General features: G+C 39.7%; 1 protein-coding gene across 1 annotated transcript in view; it reads right to left on the bottom strand.

Moving 5' to 3' along the window:
* Positions 1-16468, bottom strand: part of UBR1 (ubiquitin protein ligase E3 component n-recognin 1) — a 163142-nt gene that overhangs the window by 39182 nt on the left and 107492 nt on the right. Inside the window, exons 33-37 of the mRNA NM_174916.3 lie at positions 16090-16187; positions 7952-8042; positions 6741-6889; positions 2809-2864; positions 1819-1915 (exon numbers count right to left, since the gene is read on the bottom strand). Coding sequence (NP_777576.1) covers positions 1819-1915; positions 2809-2864; positions 6741-6889; positions 7952-8042; positions 16090-16187 — 491 coding nt within the window. The remainder of the gene's footprint in view (positions 1-1818; positions 1916-2808; positions 2865-6740; positions 6890-7951; positions 8043-16089; positions 16188-16468) is intronic.

Consider the following 16468-nt stretch of genomic DNA (forward strand, 5'->3'; position numbering starts at 1 on the left):
CCTACACTGGTGTCAAACTCCTGGGCTTAAGGGATCCTCCCCCTCAGGCTCCTGAGAAGCTGGGATTATAAGTGTGTGTCACTATGCTGGGCAATAAGCTGTTTTAAACATTGTAAATCCCATAATGTTTAACAAGTGCAAAAGCAGTGAAACCATTTGGAAGAATTAGTAAATATCTAAATTATGACTGAAATGAAAAAGATACCAAAAAATTAAAAAACAAAAACAAAATAGTGATATGCAAATAGGATAAACTGTTCAACAGAAAGAGGTCCTAAAAACAAAGACAGGCGCATGTGACATATGGAAGGTTCTGGCCCTGTGCAACTGACCAAGAAGGGAAAAAAGTAAGTGAAAGAAGGGAAAACTTTTAAGTGTGTGACTAGTGGAACAGCATCAACATTAGATTTCTATTAGCATGAAGCCAATTCAGGAGACACCTGGAAGTTAATTTGAAAATATAAAAGCTAAGCATGGCAGAAGTTCTAACAAAACTTGGATGGTAGCTTTGGAAGGAGTTGTGGAATCTCCACATCAACAGGATGAGCGGAAAGCTGCTCAGGAAGAGCTCCCTAAGAAGCTTGTGGGGATTGACAAGGAAAAACACTATTGGCTTCAATAGATTTTCAAGGTAAAGAAGTAGGTCTATTTTGCTGGAAAAAAAAAATGTCTGCTAGTTCAGCTACAAGAAAATTATGCCTGGATTTAAAGCGTAAAAAATCTGAATAACTCTTATTTGGTAGAAATATATCTGGGAAGTGCACGCTGAAACTACCCTACTCGTGACATTTGGGACTTATGAACAAACAGATTTACAAACAACTCTCTTAAAGCCTGGTCTGTTTGGGTGCAGAGGAGCTTATAGTAGACTTCAAATGCACAGATGGAAATGCAGATAACCAAAAGGAAAGCAAAATCACTCTAATGCTGTGTAATGACTTACCCTGCATTTTATTTCTATACTAATTGAGATCACCATATGAACTCTTAGTAAATTTCTAACTTGTTAGAATCTGAGAAGATTAGCTGTTATAGCCAGCCTGTCAAAGAAATGGGCATGGAACTGAGTTCTGCGATTACTGAATGTAGCATTTCCATTATTTCATAAGAATTTGACCCACAAACAAAACTAAACATATTTTAAAATGATCTATCCACATCACTGCTCCCTTTTCTAACTGGATTGGGGATACATGGATGTTAGTGGTTGTAGACACTGGTTCAATAACCTAGGCAGGTAGAGAAACATAAGTTGAAAATATTTGGAAAATACAGATTTTAAAAATAAGGTCATGAAGGCCAGGAGTGGTGGCTCACACCTGTAATCCCAGCACTTTGGGAGGTGGAGGCAGGCGAATCACCAGAGGTCATGAATTCAAGACCAGCCTGGCCAACATGGTGAAACCCCATCTCTGCTAAAAAAAAAAAATACAAAAATTGGCTGGGCGTGGTTGCGGGCACCTGTAATTCCAGCTACTCAGAGGGCTGAGAAAGCAGAATCACTTGAACACGTGAGGTGGAAGTTGCAGTGAGCCGAGATTGCGCCATTGCTCTCCAGCCTCAGCAACAACAGCGAAACTCCCACTCAATAATAATAATAATAATAATAATAATAATAATAATATCACAAGTTTTACAGAGGCAGCTATGTGTTTATCTGTTTTTTGCATGGCTTCTGTAGGTGGTAAAATTTCATTAGTGAGTGCTCAAAATTAGTGCAGTGTATGTTGTTTCCTAATGAAATACACTGCCAGAAATGCAATAGAAAAAGATATATAAATAATATAATACATAATAATAGTTCAGAGAAGACTCTACCTGATAGAAGACGAACCAGATGTTTCTGTATCAGGACCTGAGGACAGGTAATCCTCTGTGCAACTGCAAACTGCATTAATGCTTTCAGACCATTATGCTAGATTGTAAGAGAGAAGGAAGATAAAAAGATGAGGGAAGATGAGAGACCTAAGTCATCCACTTAAGAGTTGGTAAAAACCAACTCTAGTTTGTCGGAATTAGCTGCAGACTCATTATATACCTTATATCATTGCAAATAAATTACAATATTCTTAATACCTGTACAAGGTTTTATGGCCTTGCTAAATTTCTAATAGATTTTCTTATAAAAAAGTGGTATTAAAGCTATAATTATTTTAATTTTCACATAAAAAGTGTTTTCCCCAGAGCTGAGCACACTGTGTACCACAAGTCTTCTAGTCTTCTGTGCCAGCTGTCAGAAAAATAAGAGGGAAATGGCAGGGAAGGAATGGCAACCTCAATTACCCCTTTTGTCTTCACAGGGCTACTCTGCATATTTCTTTAGTACTGTTTTCCAGGGATCACTATGTAAAGAGGTTTAGGCCTGGGGCAGGAGTAGAGTCCTACAGTAGTGTCAGTATCTGCCCATCAAGGAGTCATGTCTTAATTTTATTTTTGAATTCAGTATGATGATTCATCCAGAGCTAAGCCAGCATTAATACTCAATGTTATATAATGGTGTAAAATTAGTGAGAAGGAAAAATATAGGAAACATCAGGATTTTGAAATGTAACAAACAAAGGGAGAAAAAGTAATCATCACATGAAATCTCTGTATGAATTACACTTAACCTCTGAGATTGAGTAAGCGCTGTAAAGTGCACATGCTATTCAGTTTCCTATAAGACTGATGCAGTTCCTTTTTTCCCCACTATAGAATTCTGCTAATTTTTACAGAAAATGAGTAAAGATTTTTTGTTTTTAATAATAAACTGTGGGGGGGAAAAAAGGCATGCCATGAGTTACATGTACCTTGTTGGAATATACATACCTGCCTATTTTGAAGTGCTCCAAACAGAGGTTTTCCTTCATCTCCCAATAGATTTTCTCAAAGAATAAAAAAAAATAAAAATAATAAATCCTGAATAGTGCTATAATCATATACTGTACTTTTTATCAAATGTTCTTTAATAATATTTTTGATGAGATGATTTGCATTTTTCCCCTTCAAAGTCTTGTGTTTTAAGTCTATGCCAAAATTTTCCAATTTTTGAGTGAGAGAAAATTAGAGAATCAAATGTATATCATTTACAAATTACTAGCATAAAAAATAAAGCACCTGCAGCAATCTTATAAGAATGCTTGGGAAAAACAAAGCAGCCTGGACTGCTTCTTCTCATTTCAGCATCTTTTTTATGCAAAATTTTCTAAAATAAGTAATTTATATATGTAATTATAGCCTATTTTGTTTAAAAATAATATGTAAGGCAGATACAAACAACTTCATTGCTCTTTTGGGTACAATTTTTTTTTTGAGACAGACTTTCGCTCTTGTTGCCCAAGCTGGAGTGCAATGGCGCGATCTCGGCTCACTGCAACCTCCACCTCCTGGGCTCAAGCGATTCTCCTGCCTCAGCCTCCTCAGTAGCTGGGATTACAGGCGTGCACCACTACGCCAGCTAAATTTTTGTATTTTTAGTAGAAACAGGGTTTCAGCATGTTAGCCAGGCTGGTCTCGCACTTCTGACCTTAGGTGATCCGCCCACCTCAGCCTTCCAAAGTGCTGGGATTACAGGCGTGAGCCACTGCGCCCGACCTCGGGTACAATTTTAAAAGAATTAGAAAAGATCAATAGGAAAAAAAGAAAATGAGACCGGGTGCAGTGGTTCATGCCTGTAATCCCTGGACTTTGGGTGGGTGAGGCAGGAGGACTGCTTGAGCTCAGAAGTTCAAGACCAGCCTGGACAACATGGTGAAACCCTGTCTCTACAAAAAACACAAAAATTAGCTGGGCGTGGTGGCACATGCCTATGGTCCCAACTGCTCAGGAGGCTGAGGTGGGAGGATCACCTGAGCCTGGGGAGGCTAAGGCTGCAGTGAGCCATAACTGCACCACTGCACTCCAGCCTGGACAACAAAGTGAGACCCTGTCTCAAAAAAAAAAAAAAAAAAAAAAAGAGAAAGAAAAAGAGAAAATTAAAATACCAAAATCACAGATTTGTGTTTTGTTGTCCATGGTATTTATTCCTAAATTACTCTTATTTTCACTGATCCTTAGCAGCAGATACGAGTGTGGAAGCATTTTTTTTCATCTTTGCATAAACAGTAATTCAAAGGACGCTTTGTTTTGATTCCTCAACTATTATCCTATGCCAATGCATTCTGTACATATCTCTCCATCTCCACAGGGACTGAGATAAGTTAGTTGTTTATGTACTAAGAATAAAGTAGAGCATTATGCCTGCTTGATAGAAAAAGCACAATAGTGAACACAATATGATATTAATCAAATGGAATCCAATTACTAGATTATAGAACCACATATGAAAAGATTCAGCTCTATCAGCAGTGAATTTCCTATCTCCTTTATAACAGACTGTGCCCCCTTTTTAATGTTCAAGGTCTAAATATAAATTCTTGATTTCCTAATGCTTATCTTCCCCAAAATAGTAAAGTGTGAAATAGCTTCACTGAAAGTCTGAAGAGACTTAGCATGTCATGACTCCACAAGAATGCTTTACATTTCTTATCAATTTGTTCAGACTCTATTTTATATAAACCTCACCTTTCCTATATCCCACTTGATTGAATCATAGCAAATATAAACTGATGTATTATCCTATACCCATGATTTAAGTCTAACAGGTTTGGATGTGACTTTTTTTCCCCCAAGCACATCCACCCACAGTGGCTTTATTCAGTCACATCCCCACCCCCACAGCTCCCTCCACCAGGCAGACAGGTGGGAGGCCACGCCACGGCAGTACCCGGGGACCATGGGCCAGCAAAGGGTCCCGGCCAGAGGGCACCAACCCCAGGAAGACACGGTCCCCACCCGGAGCTTCCCTGGGCTGCCTCGGCCCCTGAGCCCACCCTGAGGATCTGTGCTTTGACTCTGACAGGGAGCAGCAGGAAGCCGCCAGCCCACTGACCCCCTGGGTATCCTTGGAAGGCACACGGTGGAGTGGTGACTCCAGCTCCTGAGCGGCGCTTCCTCAGCTCCCATGCCCCTGCATGGTGCTGGGCTCGGCCCAAGATGTCCAACCGCAGTCTGGCTCTGACAAGGATGGTCACGGCCTAGCCACAGGGGCGGCTTTGCCCATCAGTCCCCCTGGGGCAGCAACTGGATCCCGGCAGGGGCAGAGCCGGGATGGGCCCTCTCTATGGGCTTAAGATCAATGTAGGCGGAGGCTCACTGGGCCAAGGCCAATGAACCCACTCATAGGAGCCCTCTGAGGGCACCGGTAGGGGGTCTGCTAAGGGCAGGTGCCCGTGGCCTGGAACCTGCCTTTGCCAAGGCACTGAAAGCGACTCTTAAACTCTATTAAGAAACTAATGATAGTATGTAGGAAGGCTTTGGGAAAAAATGTGGCTTCAAGGCCGGGTGTGGTGGCTCACGCCTGTAATCCCAGCACTTTGGGAGGCTGAGGCGGGAGGATCACGAGGTCAAGAGATCGAGACCATCCTGGCCAACATGGTGAAACCCCGTCTCTACTAAAAATACAAAAATTGGCTGGGCGTGGTGGCGTGCACCTGTAGTCCCAGCTACTCGGGAGCCTGAGGCAGGAGAATTGCTTGAATCTGGGAGGCGGAGGTTGTGGTGGCCGAGATTGTGCCACTGCACTCCAGTCTGCCAATAGAGCGAGACTCTGTCTCAAAAAAAAAAAAAAAAAAAAAAAAATATGGCTTCATGCTACTTAATTCAAATTATGAAATATAAGTGTCTTGTTACAAAAATACATTTAAATGAAGAAAATATAATGGACTCCATTAAAAACAATTACCAAAAATATATATATTGAAAGGGAAATCAAAGTTGGCTTGGATAAAGATAGGGAAGAATCACCATTCTTAATTTTTTCCATGTAATATTGCACCTTGTCCCTATAACGAACAAATGCACTAACTTAAAAAATCTAAGTGATCCCTCACTGCTACATTTTTCTGTGCAAAATTTTCAATATGGCAGAGAATTTGATAGTAGGCTTCCCTTTAGAGCTGGTTTCTGCCTGCTAATCTCTCTTAAACTGCCTCAGTCTTCCTTTCCCCTTTCCGTTAATTTTTAGGTGACTTTGGTTTCCCCTCACTTCTTCTCTCAAACTATAAAAGAAAGAAAAATTACTGAACACTTCTGAGTTGATTCTTTTCTTTTTTCCTTGAACCTCTATAACTTACATCATGCTGTTCCTTTAATATAGATACTAAAGGAATATATGTGTGTGTGTGTGTGTGTGTGTGAACACACACACACTTTTTAGAGACAGGGTCTCACTCTGTTGCCCAGGCTGGAGTGCAGTGGTGCAACCATGGCTCACTGCAGCCTCAAACTCCTGGACTCAAATGATCTTCCCACTTCAGCTTCCTGATTACCTAGGATTACAGGTGCATACCACCACGCCTGGCTAATTTTTTGTAGACAATCTTGCTGTATTGCCCAGGCTGGTCTCAAACTCCTGCTCTCAAGTTATCCTCCCACCTCAGCCTCCCAAAGCTCAGCCTCCCAGGCATAATCCACCGTGCCCAGCTTTTTAAAAATATTTTTTTTAACTTATGTTGCATATGGCCACAATCATAGTTAAAAAGAGATCAACATAAAAAAATTACCAGACCAAATGGCATGAGCCACACTAATACACTGAAATACTAATAGTCCTCATACAAGTCAAATTATTCTGGGCCATCAGTGAAAAAAAGAATTTAAGAATGAATGATCAAAGTTAATTCTCACTGAAACCTCCAAACCAGTTTTCTTATGAGCTTTACCAATTGCCTGGATAGTGAAAGCGCAGGTGCTCCAGGTCAGCATGGGGACTCGAGGATCCCTTTCATCAGGTGGCACTTTCAATCCAATTCTATAAATTGTTGTGGCAAAGAGAATAACCATTTCCTTGATGCTATTTGAATATTTAATCCTATAAATAAAACAAGAAAATTTGTATGATTTAGTAAAAGGAGCTACTTAGTAAGAAGTCCAATTAAGTCCTGAAGCAACAGAAACAATTTAACTGCTTTCAACATAAGTAAACTGCTCTTTGCCAAATTAGAGATTAGAGCCTCCAAAGATTTATTCAGTTGGAAAAAAATTGGAAGAGCAGAACTGTATTTTCTAAAGGTAGAGAAACAGCTCTTATAAAATGCTAATGACCTACATAACTTCACTTCCTGTAAAAGATGCAGCAAATGCTCACAGCTAGAAGGGGTTCAGGTTCTAATTAAAAACCAGACTGAACACAGAAAGAATAAAATTCAGAGGAACAGATCTAACCTAACAAGCTTTGATGCTTGGAAAAGGAACCAAAGAAGTACTTTTGTGTTGATAGGTATGTGTATGTGTTTGTGTTGTGTGTATGTGTGATATGATACCATGTACCTGGAGTGATAATTTCCAGTTTTCTGAACTTCCATTTATAACAAGTATTTTCAGTAGCAATGGGATAGATAAACAAGGATCACAACTAGAAAAACTACCCTGGATACTCAATATTAATGAAATAATAATATCTGATTTGGGTACATTACATCTCTCCAATAACCTAATGAGGCAGGATAGAAGGCCATTGCCTCAATTTTACATGCAAGAAAAATGAACGGGTGGTGGCATGGAGTGACCTGAGACTTTTCAGAAAGTCACAAAGCAAGTTAGATGTAATTTTAAATGAAGTCTCATAATTCTGGTCCTCTTGTAGGACCAGACAGAATTGGCATTTTTGGTCCTCTTGTAGGGCCACAGAGAACTGGCATTTTTGTTGGTTAAAAATGGTTACTCAGAGGCATAGTTCACCTTAATATATATTACTTTAATATCTCAAACCACTTCATTTTGTTAATACAAATAAAACAAACGAGAAAGAAACAAGATAATGGGATAAACTATTTTACAAATAAAAAAGTAAGGAAAGATGGAAGCCTACACTGTTTCCTACTCTTATTTTCACAATCATTTACAAAGTTCTCTTAACTATTTAGATACTTACGAAGACTCAACGCCAAAACTCAGGATGGAATGGAACTCCAAAGTAGAATCTCCCATTCCTTGATTAAAGAAAATAGGAATTGGGTTTTCTCCTTATAAATTAAAAGGAAAAAGAAAGAAAAATCATGAATGAGTTTAGTCTGACATACAGTTTTCTAGCATTTATTTATTTATTTTTGACAGTCTCACTCTGTCACCCATGCTGGAGCACAGTGGCATGATCATCTGTAGCTTCCATCTCCCAGGCTCAAGCGATCCTCCCAATCTCCGCCTCCCAAGTGACTACAGGCATGTGCCACCATGCCTGCCTAGTTTTTAAACAATTTTTTTGTAAAGATGGGGTCTTCCTCTGCTGGCCAGGCTGGTCTTGAACTCCTTAAGAGATCCTCCCACCTTGGCCTACCAAAGTGCTGGGATTACAGACATGAGCCACTGTGCCCAAGCTTTCTAGCTTTTTAATACTATACATGATCATTTTAGGAAACTTGGAATATGCTAATAAGCAATGAATGATTAACTGAAGTTTCGCCATCCAGATAACCACTGTTAACATTTGGGTGATATTCTTCTGTTCCCCATATAAATATTACATATATAGAATTTTTTTAAGAGGATGACATAATACTAGCCTGCATCTTGCCTTTGCACCTAATAGATCATGAACATCTTTCTATAACAGTAACTTTCCCTCTATTTTGCCATGTTTAATGACTGCATAAATGTTCTCTTGATAAGGCAGCATATGTTAGTGAATAAGAGTAAATGATCTGAAGCCAAGCTGCCTGGGTTTGAATCCTAGCTCTGCCACTTACTGTTACTGCAACCTTGTGTGAAAGCTAAACCTCTCTGTAGCTCCATTTCCTTGTCAAATTCAAATGCTATTTCCCGACATGAAATGGGTTGTTTTTCTCTGGTTGCTTTCAAGATTTTTAATCTTTTTTTTTTTTTCAAGAGATGAGGTCTTAGCTGGGCATGATGGCTCAAACCTGTAATCCTAGCACTTTGGGAGGCCGCAGTGAGAGGATCAATTGAGGTCAGGAGTTCAAAACCAGCCTGGCCAACATGGTGAAACCTCATCTCTACTAAAAATACAAAAAATTAGCCTGGCGTGGTGGCGGGTGCCTGTAATCCCAGTTACCTGAGAGGCTGAGGCAGAAGAATCACTTGAACCCAGGGGGTGGAGTCTGCAGTGAGCCGAGATCGCACCACTGCACTCCAGCCTGGGCGACAAAGCGACACGCCATCTCAAAAAAAAAAAAGATGAGGTCTCGCTATGTTTTGCCGGTTGGCTTCAATTTCCTGGGCTCAAAGCATCCTCCCACCTCAGCCTCCCAAATAGCTGGGACTACAGACACGCACCACTGTGCCTGGCTCTTTATTTTTTGTTTTCAGCAGTTTGCTTTATGATGTGTCTGAGTGTGGTTTTCTTATCTGCTTGAGATTTACTGAACTTCTTGAATCTGCAAATTTGTCTTTCACCAAATTTGGGAAATTTTCAAACAATTATTTCTTCAAATATTTTTTCTGCATTATTTTTCCCTTCCTTTTGGGACTTCAATGACACAAATGTCAGGTTGAAAAAAAAAATTGTCCCATAGACCCCTAAGGATATATTTTTTTGTCCCCCATCTCTTTTCTGTCTGTTCTCCAGACTGAATAATTTCCACTGACCTAATTTCACATTCATGGACACTTTACCTCATCTCCAGTCTAGTATATGTATTTTTGAAACAACATAGCCTTGCTGTGTTGCCCAGGCTGGACTGCAGTGGCATGATTATAGCTCACTGTAACTTCAAACTCCTGGGCTCAAGCGATCCTCTCCTCAGCCTCCCAAGTACCTAGGACTATAGGCACACACCACCAAACAGAGCTAATTTTTATTATTATTATTTTTTATTTTTTTAGAGATGGGGTCTTATTATATTGCCCAGGCTGGTCTTGAATTCCTGGCCTCAAGTGATCTTCCTGCCTGAACCTCCCACAGTGCTGTTATTATAGGCCTGAGCCACTGTGCTCAGCCTTCTAGTTTACTATTGAGCACATCCAGTTAATTTTTGTTTCATCCAGTATTTTTTCAATTCTATTATCTCCATACGGTTGGTTTTTTTAGTTCCTATTTTTCTGATAACTTCTATCTTTCAACTCTTTCAAGAGTGTTTACCTTCACCTTATGTTTAAGGCTAACTAGCTGCTTTAAAACTCTTCGATAAGTTTAACATTTAAAACATCTCAGGATTGGCATTTGGTTGTTTTTCCCTTGAGAATCGGTCAGATTTTTCTGGTTCTTTGTATGTCAAGTAATTCTGGATATTATCTTGTATATTTGGAATATTACATTGGGAGGTTCTGGTCCTGTTAAAAACCTCTGGAAACATGAACAGTTTTAAAGTGTTTTAGAAGGCAATAAACTCAGGTTCAACCAGTTCTGTCTCATCCTCTGTGGATGGTGATTCCAATGTTAGTTTTCAGAGCCTGTGCTGTGGTGTTTTGATCTGCCCAGCACATGTACTCCTCGGGGGGTTAGCCTGGGACTTGAGTGATGGTTTAAATGAAGCTTACTTCTCAAAACTTTGGCTATGCCTCTTTGAGCCTATTCTGCACATGTGCAGCTTGGAGGTGAGCCCAGGACTTGTGTGGACCTCAAAAATATGAGAGTCCCCTTCTATAGTTCTCTCCTCTTGGGGATTTCCCACCCCAGTCCTCCCACTTTCTAGCTCCAAAGGGCCCTTTTCCCCAGTTTCTCTGGCCAGAATGACATGTTTTTCTCAGTTTTAGTCTCCCATGCTGTCAGTCAGATTTATGACTGCGGATGCCCTTGGCGTGAAGCCACGAGGCAAAGACAGAAAAAAATGATGAAGATTAACCTTGTACTCTTTGGAACACAGGAGCTCCTTTTCCCAGTTCCTCACCACAGAGACTGGTTTTCTCTTGAGATTATGGGCATCTGCATGGCCACCATGGCTGTGCAGCTCTATGCCTGAGGCTGGCCTTGGGAGAAGACCAGAGGAAAAATAAAATAAACACACTCCTTTTATATTCTGGCTATGAGGGGCTTCTTTTCCTGATCCTCTGACCAGAAAGAGATGGCATTTCTCATGGATTTTTGCTGTTCATGCTTGTTGTACAGTTCTAGGACTCAGCTGTTCTTGAGTGAAAGTTGGGAAATAAAGGAAGAAAAAGCCTCAGGAAACTCACTACCCGTAATGATAATTCTTAAATTTTGACTTTAGTTCCCATCTGCCTGCTAGTCTACTTTTCAGAGACTTCAGCTGCTGTGGTTTTTTTGTATCCTGTGAAAGTATGAGGAATTAGAGATTGGATTTTATGAAATGTCTTTTTTTTTTTTTTTAAAGACAGAGTCTCGCTGTATCACCCAGGCTAGAGTACAGTGGTGCAATCTCGGCTCACTGCAACCTCCACCTCCCCGGTTCATGCCTCAGATTCTCCTGCCTCAACCATCCGAGTAGCTGGGATTACAGGCGCGGGCCACCAAGCCTGGGTAATTTTTGTATTTTTAGTAGAGACGGGGTTTCACCATGTTGGCCGGGCTGGTCTTGAACTCCTGGCCTCAAGAGATCTGCCTGCCTCGGCCTCCCAAAGTGCTGCGATTACAAGCGTGAGCCACTGCACCCAGCTTGAAATGTCTTTTAAAAAGTTACAATGACAAGCCAGGTGTTGGTGGCGGGCAACCAACTACTCAGGAGGCTGAGGCACGAGAATTGCTTACACCTGGGAGGCGGTGGTTGCAGTGAGCTAAAATCTCACCACTGCACTCCAGCCTGGGGGGCAGAGCGAGACTCCATCTCAAAAAAAAAAAAAGGCTGTAATGACCATATTAGTTTTCATCTTTAACCTATTTATTTAAGAAGTTTCCATCAAGGCACTGTTAGAATAAACCCAATCTGAGCATTGTCTCTTTTGGGCTATGAGCTGTCTTCTAAGCATGGTTTTGGCCATACTCCATGGATTTGATCTGTGTTGTTCTCATTGTTAATTGCTAAATAGTCACTGATTTCTCCATCTCTCTCTAGCTTTTTCCTTGCATTCAACAGTTACATGGAACAGTATTTTAAAATTCCTAATTTGTTAGGTTTTTGAGCTCTCTTTTGTTAAGTATTATTTTATTGTATTGTGGATAGTATAAGTATCGTACATAATTTCCCTTTTTGAAAACTATTGAGATTCTTACATGGCCTAATTTATTAACCAATCTGTTATTAATAATCCATGGAAAGGCCAGGCACAGTGGCTCACACCTATAATCCAAACACTTTGGGAAGCCATGGTGGGAGAATCACTTGAGGTCAGGAGTTCAAGATCAGCCTGGGCAACACAGCAAGACGCTGTCTCAAAAAAAAAAAAAAAAAAAAAAAAAATCCGTGGGCATTTGATAAAAATATATTCTCCAATAGGAACAAACTTCTGTAGAACATATTACTAAATCAAGCTTAATTTTAAAAATTCTCTAAGTCCTTATTTATTAGGATGACTTGACCAGCCATAAAACTATCTCCCACTATCACTATGTTTTTGTTTAATTCTACTTATGTACCAAAACAACACAGCGTGAAAATAAATAGAAACTGAATTTACTATCTGTCTTTTCTCCTAACCTCCCCATATTTGTAGGCAATATAGATAAAATGCTTACACATTCTCTGCAATCCTTCCTTTACAATCTCTTGGCTGTTTCTTTTCCCCAAACAATTAGTCATTCAATAAGCATTCAGAGCAAACTTGTCAATGCTTACTATTAATACCACCACCTCTCACCATGTCATGGTAGGACCAGTGCAACTGATTCCTGATTAATCTTCTTGAGTTATCTCCTCACTCTTGCAATCTATCTGCGGCACCACTCCCACACTAAAAAGCTACCAGAATAAATGCTAGTCACTTGCTCAAAAATTTTTAATCATTCCATGATTTCTTTTTTAAAGTTCTCTATTTCAATAGTTTTTCCTTAGCTTATGTTCAGTATTTTCTTCCCTTAAAAATATAGGCTTCTAAGTAAATTAGTGAATATGTTTAAAAGATACTAATCACTCTTATGCTTCTTTAGACGGTCACAGAGGTCCTACTGCTAATAAAGTGATATTTCTACTTAATGCCATGTTTGAGACCTCCAATTAAACATTTAGAGGCCAAAATAACAATAAAAAAACTGATTTAAGGCTGAATTTTTGAGACCTAAAAATCATGATGTAAAACCAACATGTCATTCTACATTTTTTTAAATAAAAAGAAACTAAATTCACATATGTCAAAGTCATTTTAAATTACTATAAAAATTAAGAAGAATCTCTTGTACTGAATTGCTTCTCGGTGCTTAAAACAAGTAGCAAAGGCTGGGCACGGTGGCTCACGCCTGTAATCCCAGCACTTTGGGAGGCCGAGGCGGGTGGATCACAAGGTCAGGAGATCAAGACCATCCTGGCTAACACGGTGAAACCCCGTCTCTACTAAAAATACAAAAAAAAAAAAAAATTAGCTGGGCGCGGTGGCAGGCGCCTGTAGTCCCAGCTACTCGAGAGGTTGAGGCAGGAGAATCGCGTGAACCCGGGAGGTGGAGCTTGCAGTGAGCCGAGATCACGCCACTGCACTCCAGCCTGGGCGACAGAGCGAGACTCCATCTCAAAACAAACAAACAAACAAAAAAAAACAAGTAGCAAAGTAGTTAAGTACATGCCAAAAATCACTTCTTAGCAAATATAAGTTCTTTTGTTAGAAGAGTTTTCCACCCAACAGATTGTTATCTCATTAGCACTTGTGGTAAAGGTTTTGTTATAAAATGAAGGAGGAGGGGAAACTGACAGGACGTTGCCAGACTCATTCATTGCTGACTGTTGTCTTCCATCATTCTGTGTTTCTACATGACCAAGTCCAAATTCTTACAAACCTCCACAACTGCCCCATATTCTCCACTGTTCCCCACTGTGTACTCTCAACTAAGGTAGGCCAGGCTTTTTCAATGTCTCTGAAAATGCCATGCTCACAGTTCCCTAAAAACATTTCTGTTTTCCACCTGGGTTCTCCTTTATCCCTACCACACATCCAAATTTTATACAAGGTCAAATCGAATCTCATTTTTTCCATGACATCTTCCCTTACTACTTCAGCCCCTACTGATCAATTCCTTCTTAAAAATCCTATGAGTCCTATTGTTTTATACTATAAAATCTGGCTGTTAATGCTATTTCCTCTTGTATCATTCTTAACTGCGTAACATGCACACATATGAGGTCAACGAGGCAGGGAACATAAAACTTTGTATGATAACTTAGGCTGGGCACACTGGCTCATGCCTGTAATCCTGGTACTCTGGGAGGCTGAGGTAGGAGGATTGCTTGAGTCCAGGAGTTTGAGACCAGTCTGGGCAACACAGCGAGACCTTGTCTCTACAAAAAATTTAAAAATTAGCTGGGTGTGGTGGTGTAAGCCTGTGGTTCCAGCTACTTGGGAGGCTGAGGTGGGAGGATCACTTGTGCCCAGGAAGTTGAAGCTGCAGTGAGCTGTACTCCAGCCTGGGTGATGAGCGAGACCTGTCTAAACAAACAAACAAAAAAACAACAAACCCCCCCAACAAAACAAACAAAAAACCTTTGTAACTTAGACTATGGTGATGAGAAATAAAACCATCACCGCTATTTCTTCCTCTGTAGCTTTTGTATACATCCTTCATTTTCCTTAAAAGTACGTAACTGAAAGGACATAATTAAATCACAACAGAGGGTAAAATAATCAGGGAAAATGTGGATAAATACAGAAAGATATGAATTGTAGAAATAAGACATAAATATTTTGAGTAGAATACCTAGAAATATTCTTGAATATTTTCTAGGTATGGTTTTCATCAATTTTAGATCCAAAGAGGGGATGAGAAGATAATTTTTTAAATACTGGACTTTGCCTTCACCCTACTGATTTCACTGCCTAAACCAGGGGTCCTCAACCCCAGGGCCATGGACGAGTACCAGTCTATGGCCTGTTGGGAACCTTGGGAATGGGCTGCACAGCAGGAGGTGAGCAGCAGGTGAGCAAAGCTGCATCGGAATTTACAGCCGCTTCCCATCACTTGCATTGTCGCGTGAGCTCCGCCTCCTGCCAGATCAGCAGCCACATTAGATTCTCATAGGAGCGCAAACTCTACTATGAACTGCCCATGTGAGGAATCTAGGTTGCCCACTCCTTATGAAAATCTAATGACTGACAATCTGTCACTGTCTCCCATGACCCCCAGATGGGACCATCTAGTCGCAGGAAAACAAGCTTAGGGCTCCCACTGATTCTACATTATGGTGAGTTATATAATTATTTCGTTATATATTACAATGTAATAATAATAGAAATAAAATGCACAATAAATGTAATGCACTTGAATCATCCCAAAACCATCCCCCTCATCCGAGGAAAAACTGTCTTCCATAAAACCGGTCCTTGGTGCCAAAAAGGTTGGGGACCATTGGCCTAAACAAAAGACAACTTTTCCTCACTGTATTTTAAAAATTCCCACTTTATCCTTTTAAGCACATCTCCATTAATAGCCATACTTGTCTCACAACTGTAAAGAATATGTAAATAAGATGATAGTTTTAAAATGTTTTTGTTATTACAAACATTACTAACCACACATTAATAGTATTAGTAATAGTAATGGCTAACATGTAGCACTTACTATGTACCATGGACTATTCTACTTTACATATAATAACTCTGCTAATCCTTCAACCAATAAAATAGGTACTATTATAATATTATTATCCCCGATTTGCAAATAAGAAGTTGAGGCACACAGAGCTTAAGTAACTTGCCCAAGATCACATAATCAGTAAGTGGATCTTAGTGATTTAGATGAATCTTGGATCTAAGATTTAAATCTAAGCAGTTTGACTGCTTGGAATAATCAGATAGATGGACTTGATAGTATAATCACTGTCTGTATTGTCTCCTAGTATGAAAAACGATTAAATTTAATAAAGCAATTTAAGCCACTTATTTTTAGCTTCAAAAACTTCTATTTCCTGATATTCAAGAAATCTGTACTTGCAAACCATATTTTAGCCCAATAATTATTTAAAAAAATAAAGATTCTGACACCATCTTCACATAGCTAATATAAAATAAATTTAAGCAAACCTTTAGCATGTCTTATATTATAACCTGATATTCTGGCCAGAACAGTCTGTATCCACCGTGCCAGGGTCAAAAGTTGAGCAAGAGCATCTGCATTCTCACTGAAAAATGATATTTAAAAATTATTACAACCATGGGTACAAAGTCAAATGGAAAAGCTGAATTTGTATTATTTCCTTGGATAAATGGTCATATAAAAAAGTTGAGTTCCTCCAGATTAATTTCCTAGGTCACAGAAACATGTGTCTAAAAATGTAGCTTTTTGGAAGGGGAAGGAAATTTTAAACTTACAAGAAATAAGTCACCACCCACATGCCAATCACCCACAGGTAGTAAATGTCAGTAAATAGAATCACCATTCTAGTTGCTCCAGTCAAAAACT

The sequence above is a fragment of the Homo sapiens genome, chromosome 15 (genome assembly GCF_000001405.40).
Source record: "Homo sapiens chromosome 15, GRCh38.p14 Primary Assembly".
Lineage (NCBI taxonomy): Eukaryota > Metazoa > Chordata > Mammalia > Primates > Hominidae > Homo > Homo sapiens.